General features: G+C 39.2%; 1 protein-coding gene and 1 pseudogene across 4 annotated transcripts in view; one reads left to right on the forward strand and one right to left on the reverse strand.

Moving 5' to 3' along the window:
* The window catches only part of ATRN (attractin), a 180,101-nt gene that overhangs the window by 16,774 nt on the left and 143,396 nt on the right, over window positions 1-19,931 (forward strand). The window lies entirely within an intron of this gene.
* SF3A3P1 (splicing factor 3a, subunit 3 pseudogene 1) lies at window positions 1,508-3,236 on the reverse strand (annotated as a pseudogene).

Genomic DNA, 19,931 nt, shown 5'->3' on the forward strand with positions numbered 1-19,931 from the left:
GGTGTGGGACTCGTTATGAAGTCATTGGGAGGGATTTTCCCCTGCCTTGGTCCATGCTGAAACTGCTTTCTTGTTGCTTTTCTGTGCCTAAGAGCTGGGTTTGGTTTTTAAAAGCTCTTTAAGGGTTCCACCCTTCTTGAAGGGCTCTCGGTTCCAATTCCCTGCCTTACATGGACCTAGGCCTCAGTGTCTTCCTTTTGAGCATTTAGATCCAGATTATTTTATAGAAGATGATATGCTCTTGGATCATGGGGATTGACAGCCTCTCACAGGACACTATGGAGTTGGCTAACATGTTCCCTGCTCTGATTTTCAGGTCTCTATTTTTGGCCTTTACTGATTTCTCTTACTTTTTTTCAGGTTCAGCTGGCAGTTAAAATGATGTTATATTGCAGATTGCATTTACTTCTTGATTTTAACGTAGTGAAATGTATTGATTTTTTTCCCTTTTTGTGTCTTGTTGAAATCTTTCCCTATTCCAAGATCGTGGAGATATTCTTCTGTATTGTCTTCTGGACATTTCATTGTTTTGTCTTTCACACTTAAATCTACAGTCCACCTAGAGAAAGAGTGTGTGTGTGTGGTGCGAGGTTAGAGACACATTTATTTGCTTTATGCATATTCAGATTCACATTTATTAGAGCCACATTTATTTGCTTTATGCATATCCAATCCCATTTTTTGAGAAGACCTTTCTTTTCCCAGTGCTCTGTAGTGCTGCGTCTGTTATCAATCAGGTGTTTATGTATATATGATCTGTTTCTGGACTTTCTGTTCTATTCCTTTGGTCCGTTTGTCTATCCTTATGCCAGTAATACTGCACTATCTTAATTAGTATGGATTTATGTTAAGTCACCTTACCTTATTCTTGTTCTTTTTCAGGTTTATTTTGGCTCTTCTTGGTCCATGGCATTTCCATATAGATTTTAGAATCACCTTGTTCATTTTTGACAAGAAGAATATCTTGAGAATATGATTAGGTTGGTAATGAACCTATAACTCAGTTTGGAGTGAATTGACAGCTTTTATAATGTTGAGTCTTCCGAACCACAAACATGGTATATACCTTTATTTATTTAAATCTTTTCTAATTTGTCTTAATGCTTTATAATTTTCTATGCAGAGGTCTTGTAGATCTCTTTCCAAGATATTTGATGTTTGTTTGTTTGTTTGTTTGTTTGTTTTTTGAGACGGAGTCTCACTCTGTTGCCCAGGCTGGAGTGCAGTGGCGTGATCTTGGCTCACTGCAACCTCCGCCTCCTGGGTTCAAGCAATTCTCCTGCCTCAGCCTCCCAAGTAGCTGGGATTACGGTTGTGCGCCACCATGCCAGACTAATTTTTGTATTTTTATTAGAGATGGGGTTTCACCATGTTGGCCAGGTTGGTCTTGAACTCCTGACCTCAAGTGATCTGCTTGCCTCGGCCTCCCAATGTGCTGGCATTACAGGTGTGAGCCACAGATATTTGATGTTTTTTATACTTTTGTAAATTGTATCTTTAAATTTTTTTTTGAACAAGGTCTGGTTTTATTTTCTGGCAGAATCTTTTAAAATATAAAACAGATAAAACACATCTCAGCCCTGCAATCTGCCAGCATGCCTTGTTTCTACAGGATGCATGCTAGACCATGAGACTACGTAGCAAAGGGTCTTTAAGAGAATTTGGTTGGGAGAAATAGAAAAAACAGATCTCAGGGAAGCCTGGGCTAGCCCAAAAGCTGAGCTACATCCCTGAGCACTAGAGCAGTCCTTGTCTTTTCAGATCCTCATATGTCTTCTTATTCACAACATTCCCACTTGAGTCTTCATATTCTTCCTCCAGTGTCAGGCTGCCATCATTCTGAAGCCTTCTGCAATTTGAATTTGGCCCACAAGGAGACAGCATCTTCAATCTGCGTCACATTAGCAAAGTGAGCAGTGTTTGGGATGCCCAAACACCTCATGCCATGAGCATGATGCTATTCAGCAAAGTGTCACTGGAAGGCTTTGCGCCCTTGGTAGGTGTAGTTTCCACAAATCTCACAGTTATAGTTGATATTTAGGCCATGAAGCTTATATAGCCAGTAGGGAATGCGTTTGCCATCCCAGCCAAGTGGCAGGTTTTTGGGGTTGTAAATGATCTCGTTCTTTTCATCTTCACTCTCACTCTTACTGATCTGCTCTTCTTGCTCTTCTCCTGTCCTTGCTTGCTTGCACTGTGCATTTTCATGAGTGAGATGTTGCTGTTCCCTGAGAGTCAGAGTATTCATAGATCTGGGCTTCTAGAAAAGCAATGTCTTTGTTCTCTCAATGTCTCGCTTGGTGCCCTTTGATTTGGGATTTTTGGCAAACAAAGAGTTATCAAGTGACTCCAGGGACTTTCCTTTGGTACTGAATAGTCTCTGGGCTTGCTCTTCTACGGTCCGCCACATTTCAAGCCTAAAGCTAAGAGAGCAGATTTCAATCTGTCCAAACCCAGAGAGGCCAACTCCTCCCAGGAGGAGAAGGCGGAGAGGTCAAGATGGGCTCCAGCATGGGTCAGAGCGCTGCTTGTCTCTTTCGCCCATCCAGGAAGGTCACATTCTCCCATTTCTTCTCAAACTCAGCCTGAATCTTCCCAAAAAGTTCATTCTGATCTTGGAGAGGCTTTACTCTATCTGTGTAATCCTGAAGTTACTCAAGCAGCATCTCTAGGTATCTCTTATACTCTGCATTCTTCCTTTCTTTAGGAATGTCAAATAATTGGTCAGAGATGGACAGGTATGTGATATAATCCAGCTTCTCAGATGCCTTCACGTTAATGTACTTGAGGTAACAGTCACGGAGATCGAGGTAACGACCATATCCCTCTTCATCTGTGAACTCCACCAAGTTTTGTGCCTCTTCACTTGGATTCTCTGAGCCTTCAGGAGCTCCTCAAATTTCACTGACATTGGCACACAGATCTCATTTGGGTGCTTCTGGTGGAATTCCTTTATTTACTCGAGTCTATTATAGAATTCAGCAAACTCACTGGGTCCTGAAATGGCATTGAGTTCCTCCTTTCATAATCCATCTTTATCATCATACAGATCCCTCAGGTTCCCACTGACCTCCATATACCTATCTTGCATGGCCTGAGTGCGGTGATCAGAATTGAGCGTGGACTTCTTAGTGAGCATCTCTTTGGCCATGACGTCCATGAGCCTTTCCTTCTCCTCATGATAGCGCCGCTGCTGCTCCAGTATTGTCTCCATCTTCCTTTAGCCGCAGCCTCTCTTAAAAATTTTATGATTAGTTGTTTGCTGCTGGTTAAAGGAAATGCAGTGGACTTTTTGCACCTTTCCTAAAGTATTTTATTGATTCTAATAATTATCTGCAGATTATTAGCTCTCTGGGGGAAAAAAATCAAAAAAAACCCTTCTTTGATCCCCCGTGTCTTCTCCAAATGTGGCCTCATTTCTGTGTTTCATTTTACAACAAAACTCCTGCAAATGAAATTGTTCTCTTGTTAACATCTCCTACTTCCTCACTTCCAATTTTCTCATTAACTTATGGCTGCTAGAGATCATAGGGGCAGCAGTGTCCACAGCTTGTCAAATCCAGTGGTTAATTCTCTGGCCTTGTCTTACTAAACTTCATAACGTTTCACTGCTTCCTTTTTGAAAACTTGCTTCTGGATTTCTGGGACTCCATGCTCTCTCTCTTTTTTGCCATGCTTGACTGACTGCTCATTTGCAGACTTTGTCTTCTTCTGGCTTCTAAAAGTTAGAGTTCTTCTGGGTACTTGCTGTGCATCTGCACTCAATCGTCTTCTGTATCTGTACCTGAAACTCAGATGTTCTTCTCAGTCTGGGGACTTTGAATACTGTAACATTGAACTTTTGATTTTTATTCCAAGCCTGTTTGACCCTCAGTTTTCTTAGCATTTGTATGAGACCACTCAGGCTAGAAACCTGGGTGTTTTCTTTATTCCCATTTACTCACTTGCAAACTATTATTAAATCTTGTCTGTTCAACCCCCAAAACTTATCTAAGTATCTGCTGGTATTCTTTTTTCTTCATTTGTGGGTAGAAGCAAGATTGTGTAGGTCTTTGTAGTCTTAAATAACCATAAAAAATTTCTGGAAAGTGTAAGGTTGTATGCAAATAAAAGGTATCAGATGGCTAAGAGGAGTGGAGTTAAATATCAGGATCCTTAAACTTCTTTTCTTTATCTTGCCCATTGCCTTTTCTTTTCTTTCATTGCTATATATTTACGTGGACTCTTTCAAAGAGATTATAGTTACAGAGACCTGATAGCCAACAGGTTGAATGTAAGCCTTATTTGTGCTTATTTTTGCCTAATATTCAGGGCCCTGTGAGAGATTCTGGTTGTTGAATATACAAGAAGGGTTGAGAGCATATTCTAGATAGGGGAGTGTGTGTGTGTGTGTGTGTGTGTGTGTGTGTGTGTATCCGTTCTCTGGGCAGGGAGGGGAATATGGTAGGAGCAAAAGCACAAGAGAGGTAGGAGTGGGCACTGAGTGTCTGGGGGACCATGAGAATTGGCTTCGCAGGTGAGAGGAGAAGGATTGACATTCTTAATAGTTAGAATGTCAGGAACAGGAGGAGTTCAGACTTCATTCCACAGTCTGTGCAGAGTTATTCTAAATATTGACAAGGGTAGTGACATGGTGACATTGGTGCTTTAGGAATGTTGTTCTGCTGTAGGGTGCTTAGTAGGCTTTGTGGTCTCAGAAGCTGCTGAAGGTAGCCAGAGGTGTTAGCAATAAGACTACCATGAATTGTTTTTGAGCTTGGGGTAGAGTGGGAATGGAGATGAAGGAATACACCTAAGGAAGTCTTTGATGGCAGTTATATCATAAATTGTTCATACATGTGATGAATGGGATATCAAGTACAGGAAGAAACTAACAAAACTCATACCAACGTTTTGCGCATGGGAGAAGCTATTTTATCATTTCGGGTGGACTGTAGTTGAATGGGAAGAGATAATTCTGCCATAAGATCAGGGTTGAATTTTGTTGGTTCTGGAACTCAGTTTTTGCTGCTGTACTGTCCAGAGAGAGAGAGAAATAGAAAGGGAGAGAGAGAGAGAGAGAGGCGCGCGCGCGCGTGCGCACGCACACACACACACACACACACATAACTAATATATATAAATACATATATATGTGGGTATATATTATTTATTTATGTATATATAATATAATATACTATATAGATAATATATAATTATCTATAATTATGTAAAATATAATTGTATATTATCTATAATTATATAAAATATATAATTATATATGTATTATAGATTATATATTATATATAATTTAATATATATAATATATATACATATGTAGGTACGTTTGTTTGTGTGTGTGTGTGTGTGTGTGTGTGTATAATTAAAAAAAATTTTTTTAGAGACAGGTTCTCACTCTGCCACCAGGCTGGAGTGCAGTGGCATGATCTATAGCTCACTGCAGCCTTGACTTCCTGAACTCAGATAATCCTTCCACCTCAGCCTCCTGAGTAGCTAGGACTGCAGGTGTGTGCCATACCACACCTGGCTAAATTTTTTTTTTTTTTTTGGTAGAGATGGGGTCTCACGATGATGCCTAGGCTAGTTTTGAACTACTAGCCTCAAGCGATCCATCTGCATCGGCCTCCCATAGTGTTTGGGATTACAGGTGTGAGTCACTGTGCCCAACCTATTTTTATTTTTTTGTAGAGATAGGGTCTCACAGTGTTGCCTAGGCTGGTCTCAAGCTCCTGGCCTCAAGCGATCCTCCCAGCTCAGCCTCCCAAAGTGCTGGGATTACAGGCATGAGCCAGTCTGGCTAGCCTGAGTTTTTATTTAGAAAAACATGAACAACCTGTATATGGCTGCTGTAAACCAATGGACTTTCTTTGTTCTTGAACCAAGCTAGGCATCCACACGGCACCTATTCATCTGAGGGGATAGAGTCAGTGTTCAGATGTCTTTGAAAGAAAGGTCCACCTGCAGTTCTTTAGCTTCTGAAATGTTTTTTTCTTTTCCCATACTGTCATGGATACACACGAGATTGTTCTGGACTTCCTTTATAGTAAACTTTGCTCTTAATAAGAGCTTGAAAATTTTTGTTGTTGCAAAACTGTGTTAGAGTTGATACTGTTATTTATTAGGCAACAAATGTTACATGAATATCTATGATGTTTTAGGCACTGGCGAAAAAGAGGTGAATGAGATATGTTCTTGAGAAAGTCTTGGTAGTGTAGTGGGCAGAGATTATTCTCTATAACAGTAATAATCAAACCACATGATAAGTTTACCACGGAGAAGGCATTAATTAGCTCAGCACTGAAAACTTGGGGCACAGGTTCCCAGAGCTCCAAGGGACATTTGAAGTGAGATCTGAAAGGTTGGTTAGGAAAAAATAAGTTATTCTAGACAGAGAAGTCAGGCTGTGCTGAGCCACGAAGACTTAATGCAGGTGAGTTGAGGAAGAAATACATAGTCAATATTGCCACAATATGGTCTGCTCAGTCTGGGGAGCAGTGGCTAGTGATGGAGCAGTAGGGGTAAGTTGGGGTTGGATTGTCACAGACCTTGCATGTTGTGCTAAGGCATGCAGAGGTTTCCAGGCAAGTTTTGACATGATCAGATTGCCCTTGGTAACATTATAAAGAAGATGACAGGTGGCTCTGCAAAGAACTGTCCAGACGGGGGAGCTGGACTGAGCCACAGTTAAGAGACTGTTGCAGTAGACTAGACTAGGAGGAGGAGAATTTGAATTAGAGCATTGGCCTTAGCAAGGGGATCAAAGAGGGAAAAAGATGAGATTGGTTTGTAGGCTGAATGAATGGAGGTGAAGGTAAAGAAAGAGTCAATAATTTTTGGAAGATAGGGTAGATGACAAAGTTGTTTAAAGAAAGCATAAAAGAAGGGGATTTAATGACTTAAATTTTTGATATAGGGAATATAAGTCTGAAACATGGGTCTAGCCTTGAGCTGGAAATACAGCTTGGGCAGTTAGCAACATAGAGATGGTAGATGAAGCCACGGATGCAGATGTAATTACCTGTAGGAGTATCATGGAGACCTTGATCTAGCCAGGACAATTTCAGGGACAGCCCAGGATTTGAGCAAAGGACTTGTCCATTGCTTTTATTGAGTCTTTCAAGGTTGATGATTTATTATTGTTTAAAAATATGAGGGAGCCATATTATGGTTGTTTTAATTATCCTTGTGGATGGGTATAGTAGAATGTCCTAAATATTAAAACATATAGAATTCATTTATAATGTTATATCATTTATAATGGTTGTAGCTTTATTATTATTTTTAATAATTAGGACAAATGCTTAATATTTTACATTTTAGATCATAGTATGAGTCAATATTCATGATGAATCTTTTTCTTTGTATTTCTTTCGAATTTAAGAAATTAGATCAAAATTTTCTGATAGAGACGAAACTTTGGAATGCAGAAATATTTTTAGTATTGGTGCCAAAAATTTAAGTCACTTACTTTAACACTTAGAAATTACAAGATCATATATGGAAAGTTTGTTATTGGTTTGGTGTATTAGAATCATTTGTGGAGCTTTTAAGGACACCAATGCAGTGCTGGATTCCACTCAAGAGGGGTTTGTGTTAGGGCCACATCATCTGTATTTTTTAAAGCTTTGTGGATATTTTGATGTTAATCTGAGAACCCTGTATCAGGGGTTTGGGTAGGGGCTTTGTTAGCATATTTTGTGTCTTGCTTATTTAGTTAACCTTTTTGTTTAAAGCTGTTAAAGCAAAGGCCAGAATACCAGCAGGTTAGCGATTTGGTCATCACAGTGAAACCATTTGAATTTTCATGTGAATTTAAACTATAAAACAAAATTCAATAGCAGTTCAGTCTGGGCTTGTATCATTAGAGGGCTGGTTAAATAAAATATGACTTGTTCACAGAGCAGAGTACTATGTAGCTATAAAAGGGAAGGAGGAATAGCTATGTACTACTGTGGGGGAGAATATATTGTTAAATGAAAAAAAAAACAAAACCCACTGTAGCAGAACAGTGGTATTGTACACTGTCATTTTTTAAAGAAAGGGGATCTATAAATCTATAAATATATATTTTTGTGCATATATATAAACACACCAATGGAATGATAAACCAAAAACTAATAAAAATGATTAAGGAGAGAGAGAGAATGGGGTGGATAAAACAGGGATGGAGGCTAGACTTCTGAATGTACTTTATTTTGTGGATTACATTTAGAACCATGCCAATGCTTTACCATATTATAAAATAAAAATAAATTAAAATGAGAGAAAAAGGCAATCTCTAAAAATCAAGTGCATCCTTTCAAAAAACCAGCTCCTGGATTCATTAATTTTTTGAAGGGTTTTTTGTGTCTCTATTTCCTTCAGTTCTGCTCTGATTTTAGTTATTTCTTGCCTTCTGCTAGCTTTTGAATGTGTTTGCTCTTGCTTTTCTAGTTCTTTTAATTGTGATGTTAGGGTGTCAATTTTGGATCTTTCCTGCTTTCTCTTGTGGGCATTTAGTGCTATAAATTTCCCTCTACACACTGCTTTGAATGTGTCCCAGAGATTCTGGTATGTTGTGTCTTTGTTCTCGTTGGTTTCAAAGAACATCTTTATTTCTGCCTTCATTTCGTTATGTACCCAGTAGTCATTCAGGAGCAGGTTGTTCAGTTTCCATGTAGTTGAGCAGTTTTGAGTGAGAGTCTTAATCCTGGAGTTCTAGTTTGATTGCACTGTGGTCTGAGAGATAGTTTGTTATAATTTCTGTTCTTTTACATTTGCTGAGGAGAGCTTTACTTCCAAGTATGTGGTCAATTTTGGAATAGGTGTGGTGTGGTGCTGGAAAAAAATGTATATTCTGTTGATTTGGGGTAGAGAGTTCTGTAGATGTCTATTAGGTCCGCTTGGTGCAGAGCTGAGTTCAATTCCTGTGTATCCTTGTTGACTTTCTGTCTCGTTGATCTAATGTTGGTCTAATGTTGACAGTGGGGTGTTAAAGTCTCCCATTATTAATGTGTGGGAGTCTAAGTCTCTTTGTAGGTCGCTCAGGACTTGCTTTATGAATCTGGGTGCTCCTGTATTGGGTGCATATATATTTAGGATAGTTAGCTCTTCTTGTTGAATTGATCCCTTTACCATTATGTAATGGCCTTCTTTGTCTCTTTTGATCTTTGTTGGTTTAAAGTCTGTTTTATCAGAGACTAGGATTGCAACCCCTGCCTTTTATTGTTTTCCATTTGCTTGGTAGATCTTCCACCATCCTTTTATTTTGAGCCTATGTGTGTCTCTGCACGTGAGATGGGTTTCCTGAATACAGCACACTGATGGGTCTTGACTCTTTATCCAATTTGCCAGTCTGTGTCTTTTAATTGGAGCATTTAGTCCATTTACATTTAAAGTTAATATTGTTATGTGTGAATTTGATCCTGTCATTATGATGTTAGCTGGTTATTTTGCTCGTTAGTTGATGCAGTTTCTTCCTAGTCTCGATGGTCTTTACATTTTGGCATGATTTTGCAGCGGCTGGTACCGGTTGTTCCTTTCCATGTTTAGCACTTCCTTCAGGAGCTCTTTTAGGGCAGGCCTGGTGGTGACAGAATCTCTCAGCATTTGCTTGTCTGTGAAGGATTTTATTTCTCCTTCACTTATGAAGCTTAGTTTGGCTGGATATGAAATTCTGGATTGAAAATTCTTTTCTTTAAGATTGTTGAATATTGGCCCCCACTCTCTTCTGGCTTGTAGAGTTTCTGCTGAGAGATCAGCTGTTAGTCTGATGGGCTTCCCTTTGTGGGTAACCCGACCTTTCTCTCTGGCTGCCCTTAACATTTTTTCCTTCATTTCAACTTTGGTGAATCTGACAATTATGTGTCTTGGAGTTGCTCTTTTCGAGGAGTATCTTTGTGGCGTTCTCTGTATTTCCTGAATCTGAATGTTGGCCTGCCTTGCTAGATTGGGGAAGTTCTCCTGGATAATATCCTGCAGAGTGTTTTCCAATTTGGTTCCATTCTCCCCGTCACTTTCAGGTACACCAATCAGACGTAGACTTGGTCTTTTCACATAGTCCCATATTTCTTGGAGGCTTTGCTCGTTTCTTTTTATTCTTTTTTCTCTAAACTTCCCTTCTCGCTTCATTTCATTCATTTCATCAACAAAATTGATAAACTGCTAGCAAGACTAATAAAGAAAAAAAGAAGAATCAAATAGACGCAATAAAAAATCATAAAGGGGATATCACCACCGATCCCACAGAAATACAAACTACCATCAGAGAATACTACAAACACCTCTACGCAAATAAACTAGAAAATCTAGAACAAATGGATAAATTCCTCGACACATACACCCTCCCAAGACTAAACCAGGAAGAAGTTGAATCTCTGAATAGACCAATAACAGGATCTGAAATTGTGGCAATAATCAATAGCTTACCAACCAAAAAGAGTCCAGGACCAGATGAATTCACAGCTGAATTCTACCAGAGGTACAAGGAGGAACTGGTACCATTCCTTCTGAAACTATTCCAGTCAATAGAAAAAGAGGGAATCCTCTCTAACTCATTTTATGAGGCCAGCATCATCCTGATACCAAAGCCAGGCAGAGACACAACCAAAAAAGAGAATTTTAGACCAATATCCTTGATAAACATTGATGCAGAAATCCTCAATAAAATACTGGCAAAGCGAATCCAGCAGCACATCAAAAAGCTTATCCACCATGATCAAGTGGGCTTCATCCCTGGGATGCAAGGCTGGTTCAATATACGCAAATCAATAAATGTAATCCAGCATATAAACAGAACCAAAGACAAAAACCACATGATTATCTCAATAGATGCAGAAAAGGCCTTTGACAAAATTCAACAGCTCTTCATGCTAAAAACTCTCAGTAAATTAGGTATTGATGGGACGTATTTCAAAATAATAAGAGCTATCTATGACAAACCCACAGCTAATATCATACTGAATAGGCAAAAACTGGAAGCATTCCCTTTGAAAACTGGCACAAGTCAGGGATGCCCTCTCTCACCACTCCTATTCAACATAGTGTTGGAAGTTCTGGCCAGGGCAATTAGGCAGGAGAAGGAAATAAAGGGTATTCAATTAGGAAAAGAGGAAGTCAAATTGTCCCTGTTTGCAGATGACATGATTGTATATCTAGAAAACCCCATCGTCTCAGCCCAAAATCTCCTTAAGCTGATAAGCAACTTCAGCAAAGTCTCAGGATACAAAATCAATGTACAAAAATCACAAGCATTCTTATACACCAACAACAGACAAACAGAGAGCCAAATCATGAGTGAACTCCCATTCACAATTGCTTCAAAGAGAATAAAATACCTAGGAATCCAACTTACAAGGGAAGTGAAGGACCTCTTCAAGGAGAACTACAAACCACTGCTCAAGGAAATAAAAGAGGATACAAACAAATGGAAGAACATTCCATGCTCATGGGTAGGAAGAATCAATATCGTGAAAATGGCCATACTGCCCAAGGTAATTTACAGATTCAGTGCCATCCCCATCAAGCTACCAATGACTTTCTTCACAGAATTGGAAAAAACTACTTTAAAGTTCATATGGAACCAAAAAAGAGCCCGCATCGCCAAGTCAATCCTAAGCCAAAAGAACAAAGCTGTAGGCATCACACTACCTGACTTCAAACTATACTACAAGGCTACAGTAACCAAAACAGCATGGTACTGGTACCAAAACAGAGATATAGATCAATGGAACAGAACAGAGCCCTCAGAAATAACACCTCATATCTACAACTATCTGATCTTTGACAAACCTGAGAAAAACAAGCATTGGGGAAAGGATTCCCTATTTAATAAATGGTGCTGGGAAAACTGGCTAGCCATATGTAGAAAGCTGAAACTGGATCCCTTCCTTACACCTTATACAAAAATCAATTCAAGATGGATTAAAGACTTAAACGTTAGACCTAAAACCATAAAAACCCTAGAAGAAAACCTAGGCATTACCATTCAGGACGTAGGCATGGGCAAGGACTTCATCTCTAAAACACCAAAAGCAATGGCAACAAAAGCCAGAATTGACAAATGGGATCTAATTAAACTAAAGAGCTTCTGCACAGCAAAAGAAACTACCATCAGAGTGAACAGGCAACCTACAAAATGGGAGAAAATTTTTGCAACCTACTCATCTGACAAAGGGCTAATATCCAGAATCTACAATGAACTCAAACAAATTTACAAGGAAAAACAAACAACCCCATCAAAAAGTGGGCGAAGGACATGAACAGACACTTCTCAAAAGAAGACATTTATGCAGCCAAAAAACACATGAAAAAATGCTCACCATCCCTGGCCATCAGAGAAATGCAAATCAAAACCACAATGAGATACCATCTCACACCAGTTAGAATGGCAATCATTCAAAAGTCAGGAAACAACAGGTGCTGGAGAGGATGTGGAGAAATAGGAACGCTTTTACACTGTTGATGGGACTGTAAACTAGTTCAACCATTGTGGAAGTCAGTATGGTGATTCCTCAGGGATCTAGAACTAGAAATACCATTTGACCCAGCCATCCCATTACTGGGTATATACCCAAAGGACTATATAAATCATGCTGCTATAAAGACACATGCACACGTATGTTTATAGTGGCACTATTCACAATAGCAAAGACTTGGAACCAACCCAAATGTCCAACAATGATAGACTGGATTAAGAAAATGTGGCACATATACACCATGGAATACTATGCAGCCATAAAAAATGATGAGTTCATGTCCTTTGTAGGGACATGGATGAAATTGGAAATCATCATTCTCAGTAAACTATCGCAAGAACAAAAAACCAAACACTGCATATTCTCACTCATAGGTGGGAATTGAACAGTGAGAACTCATGTACACAGGAAGGGGAACATCACACTCTGGGGACTGTTGTGGGGTGGGGGGAGGGGGGAGGGATAGCATTGGGAGACATACCTAATGCTAGATGACGAGTTAGTGGGTGCAGCGCACCAGCATGGCACATGTATACATATGTAACTAACTTGCACATTGTGCACATGTACCCTAAAACTTAAAGTATAATGATAATAAATTTTTAAAAAAATTTAAAAAAATAAAAATAAAAATCAAGTGCATATGGAATAAGTGAATGTATATTAAGTTATATATAACTAAACGTATATTTACATTTAGTTATATATAACTAAATGTATATTAAGTTTGAGGCTGAAGCACATGATCTTTCAAATGACTTTGAAACATAGTAATTTGATTATACATTTCTAGAGGGACATATCCTCAAGGACAAAGAACTGCAAAAATATTGTAAACTGTTTTTAGTAATCGTATAACTGGTATTATTGGTATTGTTCTGGAAGCATGCATTGTTAAGTAAAACAAATGGATAATTATATTGGATTGGTGCTCTGGATTTTGGTGTGGAAAAGAGGAGATACAAAGGTAGAAACAGAGAAGTTGTTGATTAAGGATATTGGGACCATAAATTTGAGTTGGAGATGTCCGTATGAACTCATGGTATTTTTTCTTTATTGAAAATGTATTTTCTGTTTTTCTCTGCTGGAAAATCCCAGAAAGCAACCTAGGTAGCATTGAGCACTTCTAATGCCAGACTCTGTTCTGTAAATACTAATTCCCACTACAAGGAACTTAGGGTACCTTAGAAAAATGGCTTATTTCATGTTGGGGTCAAGAATGCTATAAGATGATCCTGGGACATCTTTTTATATCACAAAACAGGCTACTAGGGAGATTTTCATTTCTATCAGTGGTAGAATAGCTTTTTCTAAGCCAGTGCTCCAACTGAGAACAACTAGTAGAGAAGCTGGGAAATATTGTTTTAAAAATCTGCTTGAAGGCTTTGGAAAGTGAGCAAGGCAAAGAAAGGGACTAGAGAGACCAAAATTTTGGAGAGAAGGTAAACTCAGGGGCGAGGGCCAACTTTTGGTACAGCTTTTCCCTTGGGGGGACTGGCCGATTTGAGATGTGCGGCTAAGAGATTGAGCACAAAGTAATGGCAGAGAGACTGAGATTCTAAGCAGAGTTTTGGTGGTTATGCAGCATCGGGGGACACAGTTGGATTTCAGGGGCTGCAAAGAAAGAAGGGGCGCTGGAAAATACCTCAGGCTTTTAGTTGGGAACCCTGAAGGATGGGCTACACCCTGTGCTTAAGGGTGAACTCAAAATAGATCAGCTCTTACAAAGGCTGAAGCCCAGCTTTCACATTACCTCAATCCCTGATTGGATTAAAGAGTCTGCTCCTAGCTTTATTGTTTGCTAGAAGCAAATGTAAATCTGTGGAGGAAGACAGCATCAAGCATTGCCTCAAGTTATTATTATAATTACTATGTATAATATTTTACAACATGTAATAAATATTTACATAGTTATACAACTTAGTCTGGAATTCAATTAAAAAAAGACCTGAAAATTTAAAAATTGGCTGAAAATGAAGAGAGAAAACAGATAATTGAAACAGACTCATAGGGAGGCTTTTATTACAAATAAGATGGTATAGACTCAGTTTTCCTGCTCTTCCCTGCTAAGTACAACTCTAAATCTTGGAATTGGTACAAAAGACACCCAAAGGAGAATTCTTGAAGTTTATAAGAAGAAAGTGAACTGACTTGGGATCACAGCATTGGAAGAACAACATAGTCGTAGAGCATCTTGCATCCTCCCATCCACCTAGACCCGGTGTTTCCTGACCCTCCCACCTAGCAACAGAGTGCAGGCTAGGTAGGTTGGCTCATTCCTCCCCTGAATCAAATGGAAGTCCCCCCGAAAACATCTGCCAAGGCCGACAGCATTGACAAAGGGGATCAGTTGGGAACTCTAGCCCTAATCTTAACCCTATAAGTGGTGAGAGGAAGCACATTCCTTCCTTGCCTGTCCTGAGATGTCCCTTTTCCACTGAGGCAGGTTGGCAGAACTGGTAAGAGAGACCCAACTATAGCTAGCAGTCCAGTTTGAGAAGACTCTTCTTCCCTGTGGATGTGAGATTTTCCTCTTCAGCCCAGAGACACCAGGGTGGGCACTGCTTGCAAAAAGGACATAGCCACAGCAAATGGCCTGGTCTGAGAGATCTTTGGCCATGTGGGCCTGAGCCTTTTCTCTCCTACCCAGAGATATGGGCAGGTAGGTGGAACTGGCAAGAGCAAGTGGCCCATTACAGAAGACCTCTTTGTCTCTGTGGGTTCAAAGCTTGCCTTTTTCACTCCAGTGATACTGGGGAAGCTAGGAGTAACCTAGGACTACCACACCCTCTTCCACCAAGAGACAACTGGCAGCCTGGCTCAGGGAACTTCTTTACCCTCTCAGGCAGTGCCAGCAGAGACCAATGGGAGCTCAAAGGCACTAGATAAACAAAGCAGGCTAAATAACACTGCAAAGGCTCTGTAAATTAGTCTGCTATTGGAACGATAGCCTAGAAAAGTAGACCAAGATACTCGTGCTAAAACTAAACAGGGTGGCTAACTGTTAAAAGATTTAATAGAAGCCTATGTTAGAGACTTCTAACATAATAGACAAAATGTTCATGATATAATAGCAAATCACTTGTCATACCATCAACAAAGGAAACCACAAATTGAATCAGAAAAGACAATCAACAGTCACCAATACAAGATGAATCAGATGTTGGAATTTTCTGACAAGGATTTTAAAGCATCCATCATAAAAATGCTTCAAAATCAATTAAAATTATCCTGAAACAAAAGATATAAAAATCTCAGCAAAGAGCCATATAAAATTAATTAAAACTAAATAAATGAAATAAAAAAGCACCAAAATGGAAATTTTAGAACTGAAAAACAACAGGAAAAAAAATGCTTACTGGACCGGCTCAATAGAGTGGCAGTGACAGAATCAGTAAACTTGAGGAAGGAACTATAGAATTCACTTAATATATTGGAAGAAAGCAAACTGCAAAAAAAATGACTTGTGGGGCAATAACAAAAGACTTAATATTCACGTAATTGGATTTCCAGAGGAAGGGAGAGTAAGTAGGTCTAAAAGAGTGTTTGAAAGAAATAATAGTGGAAATCTTACCACCTTTGGCAAAAGAAACAAACCTAAGGACCCAAGAAGCTATGCGAACTTGGTACAGGATAAACCCAGTGAAACACCAAGATACATTATAATTAAACTCTTGAAACCTAAAGGCGAAGAGAAAGTCTTGAAAGCAGCCAGAGAGAAATGATGCATTACCTATAGGGAACACCAATTCAAATGGCAGTAGATTTCTCATCTGAAAACATGGAGGCCATCTGAAATGTTACATTACCTATAGGGAACACCAGTTCAAATGACAGTAGATTTTCTGTATGAAAACACGAAGAAGGACAAGACATGATATTTTTCAAGTGCGGAAATAAAAGGACTGTCAATCGTGAATTTCTGTATCTGGTGAAATTGTGCCTCAGGAACTAGAGGAAAATAGAAACATTCTCAGATAATGGATACCTAAAGAATTTGTTGCTAGCAGAACAACCCTTAAAATTGGCTAAAGGAAGTTCTTTAAGCCGAAAGGAAATGATAGTAGAAGGAATCTTGGAGCATTAGGAAGGAAGAAGGAACAATGGAAAAATAGAAATATGGGTACATAAAATAATAGACTGTCGCAGGCCGGGTGCAGTGCCAACGCCTGTAATCCCAACACTTTAGGAGGCCGAGGTGGGTGGATCACCTGAGGTCAGGAGTTCAACACCAGCCTGACCAACATGGTGAAACCTCGTCTCTACTAAAAAAAAAAAAAAAAAAAAAATTAGCTAGGTGTGGTGGCAGATGCCTGTAACCCCAGCCACTTGGGAGACTGCGGCAGGAGAATCGCTTGAAGCTGGGAGGGGGAGGTTGCAGTGAGCTGAGATTGTGCCATTGCACTCCAGCCTGGGCAATAAGAGTGAAACTCTGTCTTAAGATAATAATAATAATAATAATAATAATAATAATAATAATAATAATAATAATAGACTGCCCCTTTCCTCCCAAGTTTCATCAGTCCTATTTGATGATAGAATAAAAAATATAAAACCATCTAACACTGAAGATGATGATATTTAAATCAAGACAAAGGACTTAAATGGAAGTGAGGTTTCCACACTTTGTTCAAAGTGGTAAAATGTTGTTACTAATAAGCAGATTATTATAAGCCGTATGTTTATATTGCAGTAATTGAAGTAATCACTTAAAACTATACAAAAAGATAAACTCAAAAACAATATAAACAAATCAAGCTGGAATCCGTGATGATTAATTTTACATATCAACTTGACTGGGTTAAGGAGGACCTAGATAGCAGGTAAAGTATTCTTTCTGTGTGTATCTGTGAGGGTGTTTCCAGAAGAGGTTGGCACCTGAATCAGTGAACTGAGTAAAGATTACCCCTGCCTAATATGGGTGGCCACCATCCAATTGTTTGAGGGCGTAGATAGAACAAAAAGGCAAATCTCATTTCTCTTCTGGAGCTGTGACACCTGTCTTCTCCTCTCCTTGGAAATCGGAACTCCAGGCTCTCTGGCCCTCAGACTTCAGGACTAGCACGAGCAGTCTCCCAGGTTCTTGGACCTTTGGCCTCAGACTGAGTTACACCACCAGCTCCCTTGGTTCTCAGGCTTTGGGCTTGTCCTGCACTGTGCCATTGGCTTCCCTGGCTCTGCAGCTTGCAGATAGCCTGTCGTGGGACTTCTCAGCTCCTGTAATTGTGTGAGCCAATTTCCTTAATAAATCCTCTCCCATATACCCAATTTGTTCTGTTTTTCTGGAGAACCCTAATATAGGACTCTAAAAAATGTTCAAGTGACCTATAAGAAGGCAAGAAGAGAAGAACAAAAGACCGAGGACTTAAGCCTTAATGTATTGATAATTAACTTGAACGTAAATGGACTAAATATACCAATCAAAAGACAGAGACTGGCAGAGTGGATGAAGAAACATGACCCAACTATATATTGCTTATAGAAAAGTCACTTCAAATTGAATAATGTAGGTAGATAGAAAAGGATACTAAATTATACCATGCAAACATTGATTTAATAAAAAAGCAGAAATGGCTGTATTAATATTTGATAAATTAGACTTCAGAGCAAAGACAACTACCAGAGACAAAGAAGGGCATAATGATAAAATGCTACATTAAGCGTTGCCAGGGCACAGGGATAGGAGGTATGCTGATTGTAAAAGGGCAATATGGGGAATCCTTATAGTGTTGAAACTATTCAGTATCTTGACTGTGGAGGTAGATCCTTGAATCTATACAGGTGACAGAATTGTATAGACTTGACACACTGACACATACACATACACATACACATACACACACACACAAATGAGTGCAAGTAAAACAGTAGAAACCTGAATGCAGTTGACTTATCAATGTCAATATTCTGGTTGTGATACTGTACTGTAGTTTTTTAAAATGTTGCCATTTAGGGAAACTGGTCAAAGTGTACAAGGAATCTCTCTGTATTGCTCCTTATAACTGCATGTGAGTCTGCTATTATCTCAATTAAAATTTCAGTTATTTAAGAAACAGACTCAAGGAGACTAAGAAGACATTAAAAGTAAATGCACTGGCCTGGCATGGTGGCTCATGCTGGTAATCTCAGCACTTTGGGAGGCCGAGGCAGGTGGATCACCTGAGGTCAGGAGTTCGAGACCAGCCTGGCCAACATGGTGAAACCCTGTCTCTACTAAAAATACAAAAATTAGCTGGGCGTGGTGGCAGGTGCCTGTAATGCCAGCTAATTAGGAGGCTGAGACAGGAGAACAATTTGAACCGAGGAGGCGGAGGCTGCAGTGAGTTGAGATCATTGCCACTGCACTCCAGCCTGGGTGACCAAGTGAGACTACATCTCAAAAAAAAAAAAAAAAGTAAAAATGCACTGTGGGGTTCTGGATTGGATTTTGGAACAGACCAGAAAAGGCCATTAGTGGACACACACACACACACATACACAAGTCAGTTTTTAGAATGATCAGAAATACACTTTAAAATAAATGATTAGTATCTTTATTAGAATGATCAGAAATAGACTTTAAAATAAATGATTAGTATCTTTAAGAATTTATATAACAAGATCAATAATTTCAGTAGAGAAATAGAAAGTATAAAAAGAAGCATTGGAAACTAGAAATACAATAATTGATTTTGAAGAGCCTTAGAAGAGAATTAGTTAACTATAAGATATGTTGGGAAAAAATACCTGTATAGAAGCACAGAGACAAAGGAATGAAAAATACTAGGTTGGTGCAAAAGTAAATGCGGTTTTTGCCGGGAGGTTTTGTTTTTTTTTTTTTAATGGCAAAAACCACAATTACTTTTGCACCAACCTAATATTTAATAATTGGAGTTAAAGGCCGGGCACATTGGCTCATGCCTGTAATCCCAGCATTTTGGGAGGCCGAGGTGGGTGGATCATGAGGTCAGGAGTTCAAGATCAGCCTGGCCAAGATAGTGAAACCCTGTCTCTACTAAAAAATACAAAAAAAATTTAGCCGGGCATGGTGGTGGGTGCCTGTAATCCCAGCTACTTGGGAGGCTGAGGCAGAGAATTGTTTAAACCCGGGAGGCGGAGGATGCGGTGAACCGAGATCGCGCCACTGCACTCCAGCCTGCGACAGAGCGAAACTCCGTCTCAAAAAAAAAAAAAAAATTGGAGTCAAAAAATGGCAAAAACTGCAATTACTTTTGCACATACCGAAAAGAGTTTGAATGATGTGGGACACAGTTGTAATTAGAACTCCAAAAGGAGAAAAAAAGAGTGGAGCAGAAGCAATACTTAATGAGATAATGTCCTAGAATGTTCACAAAGTGATAAGATGCTTAAAGCTGCCAATTCAGGAAATGCAACAAACACCAAACAGGATGAGGAAGGAAAAGCATACTCAGCATTTTTGCTAACAACCAAAGACAAAGTTAAAAATATTTTTTTTTTTTTTTTTTTTTTTGAGAC

This window comes from Homo sapiens, chromosome 20, assembly GCF_000001405.40.
Source record: "Homo sapiens chromosome 20, GRCh38.p14 Primary Assembly".
NCBI classification, from domain to species: Eukaryota; Metazoa; Chordata; class Mammalia; order Primates; family Hominidae; genus Homo; species Homo sapiens.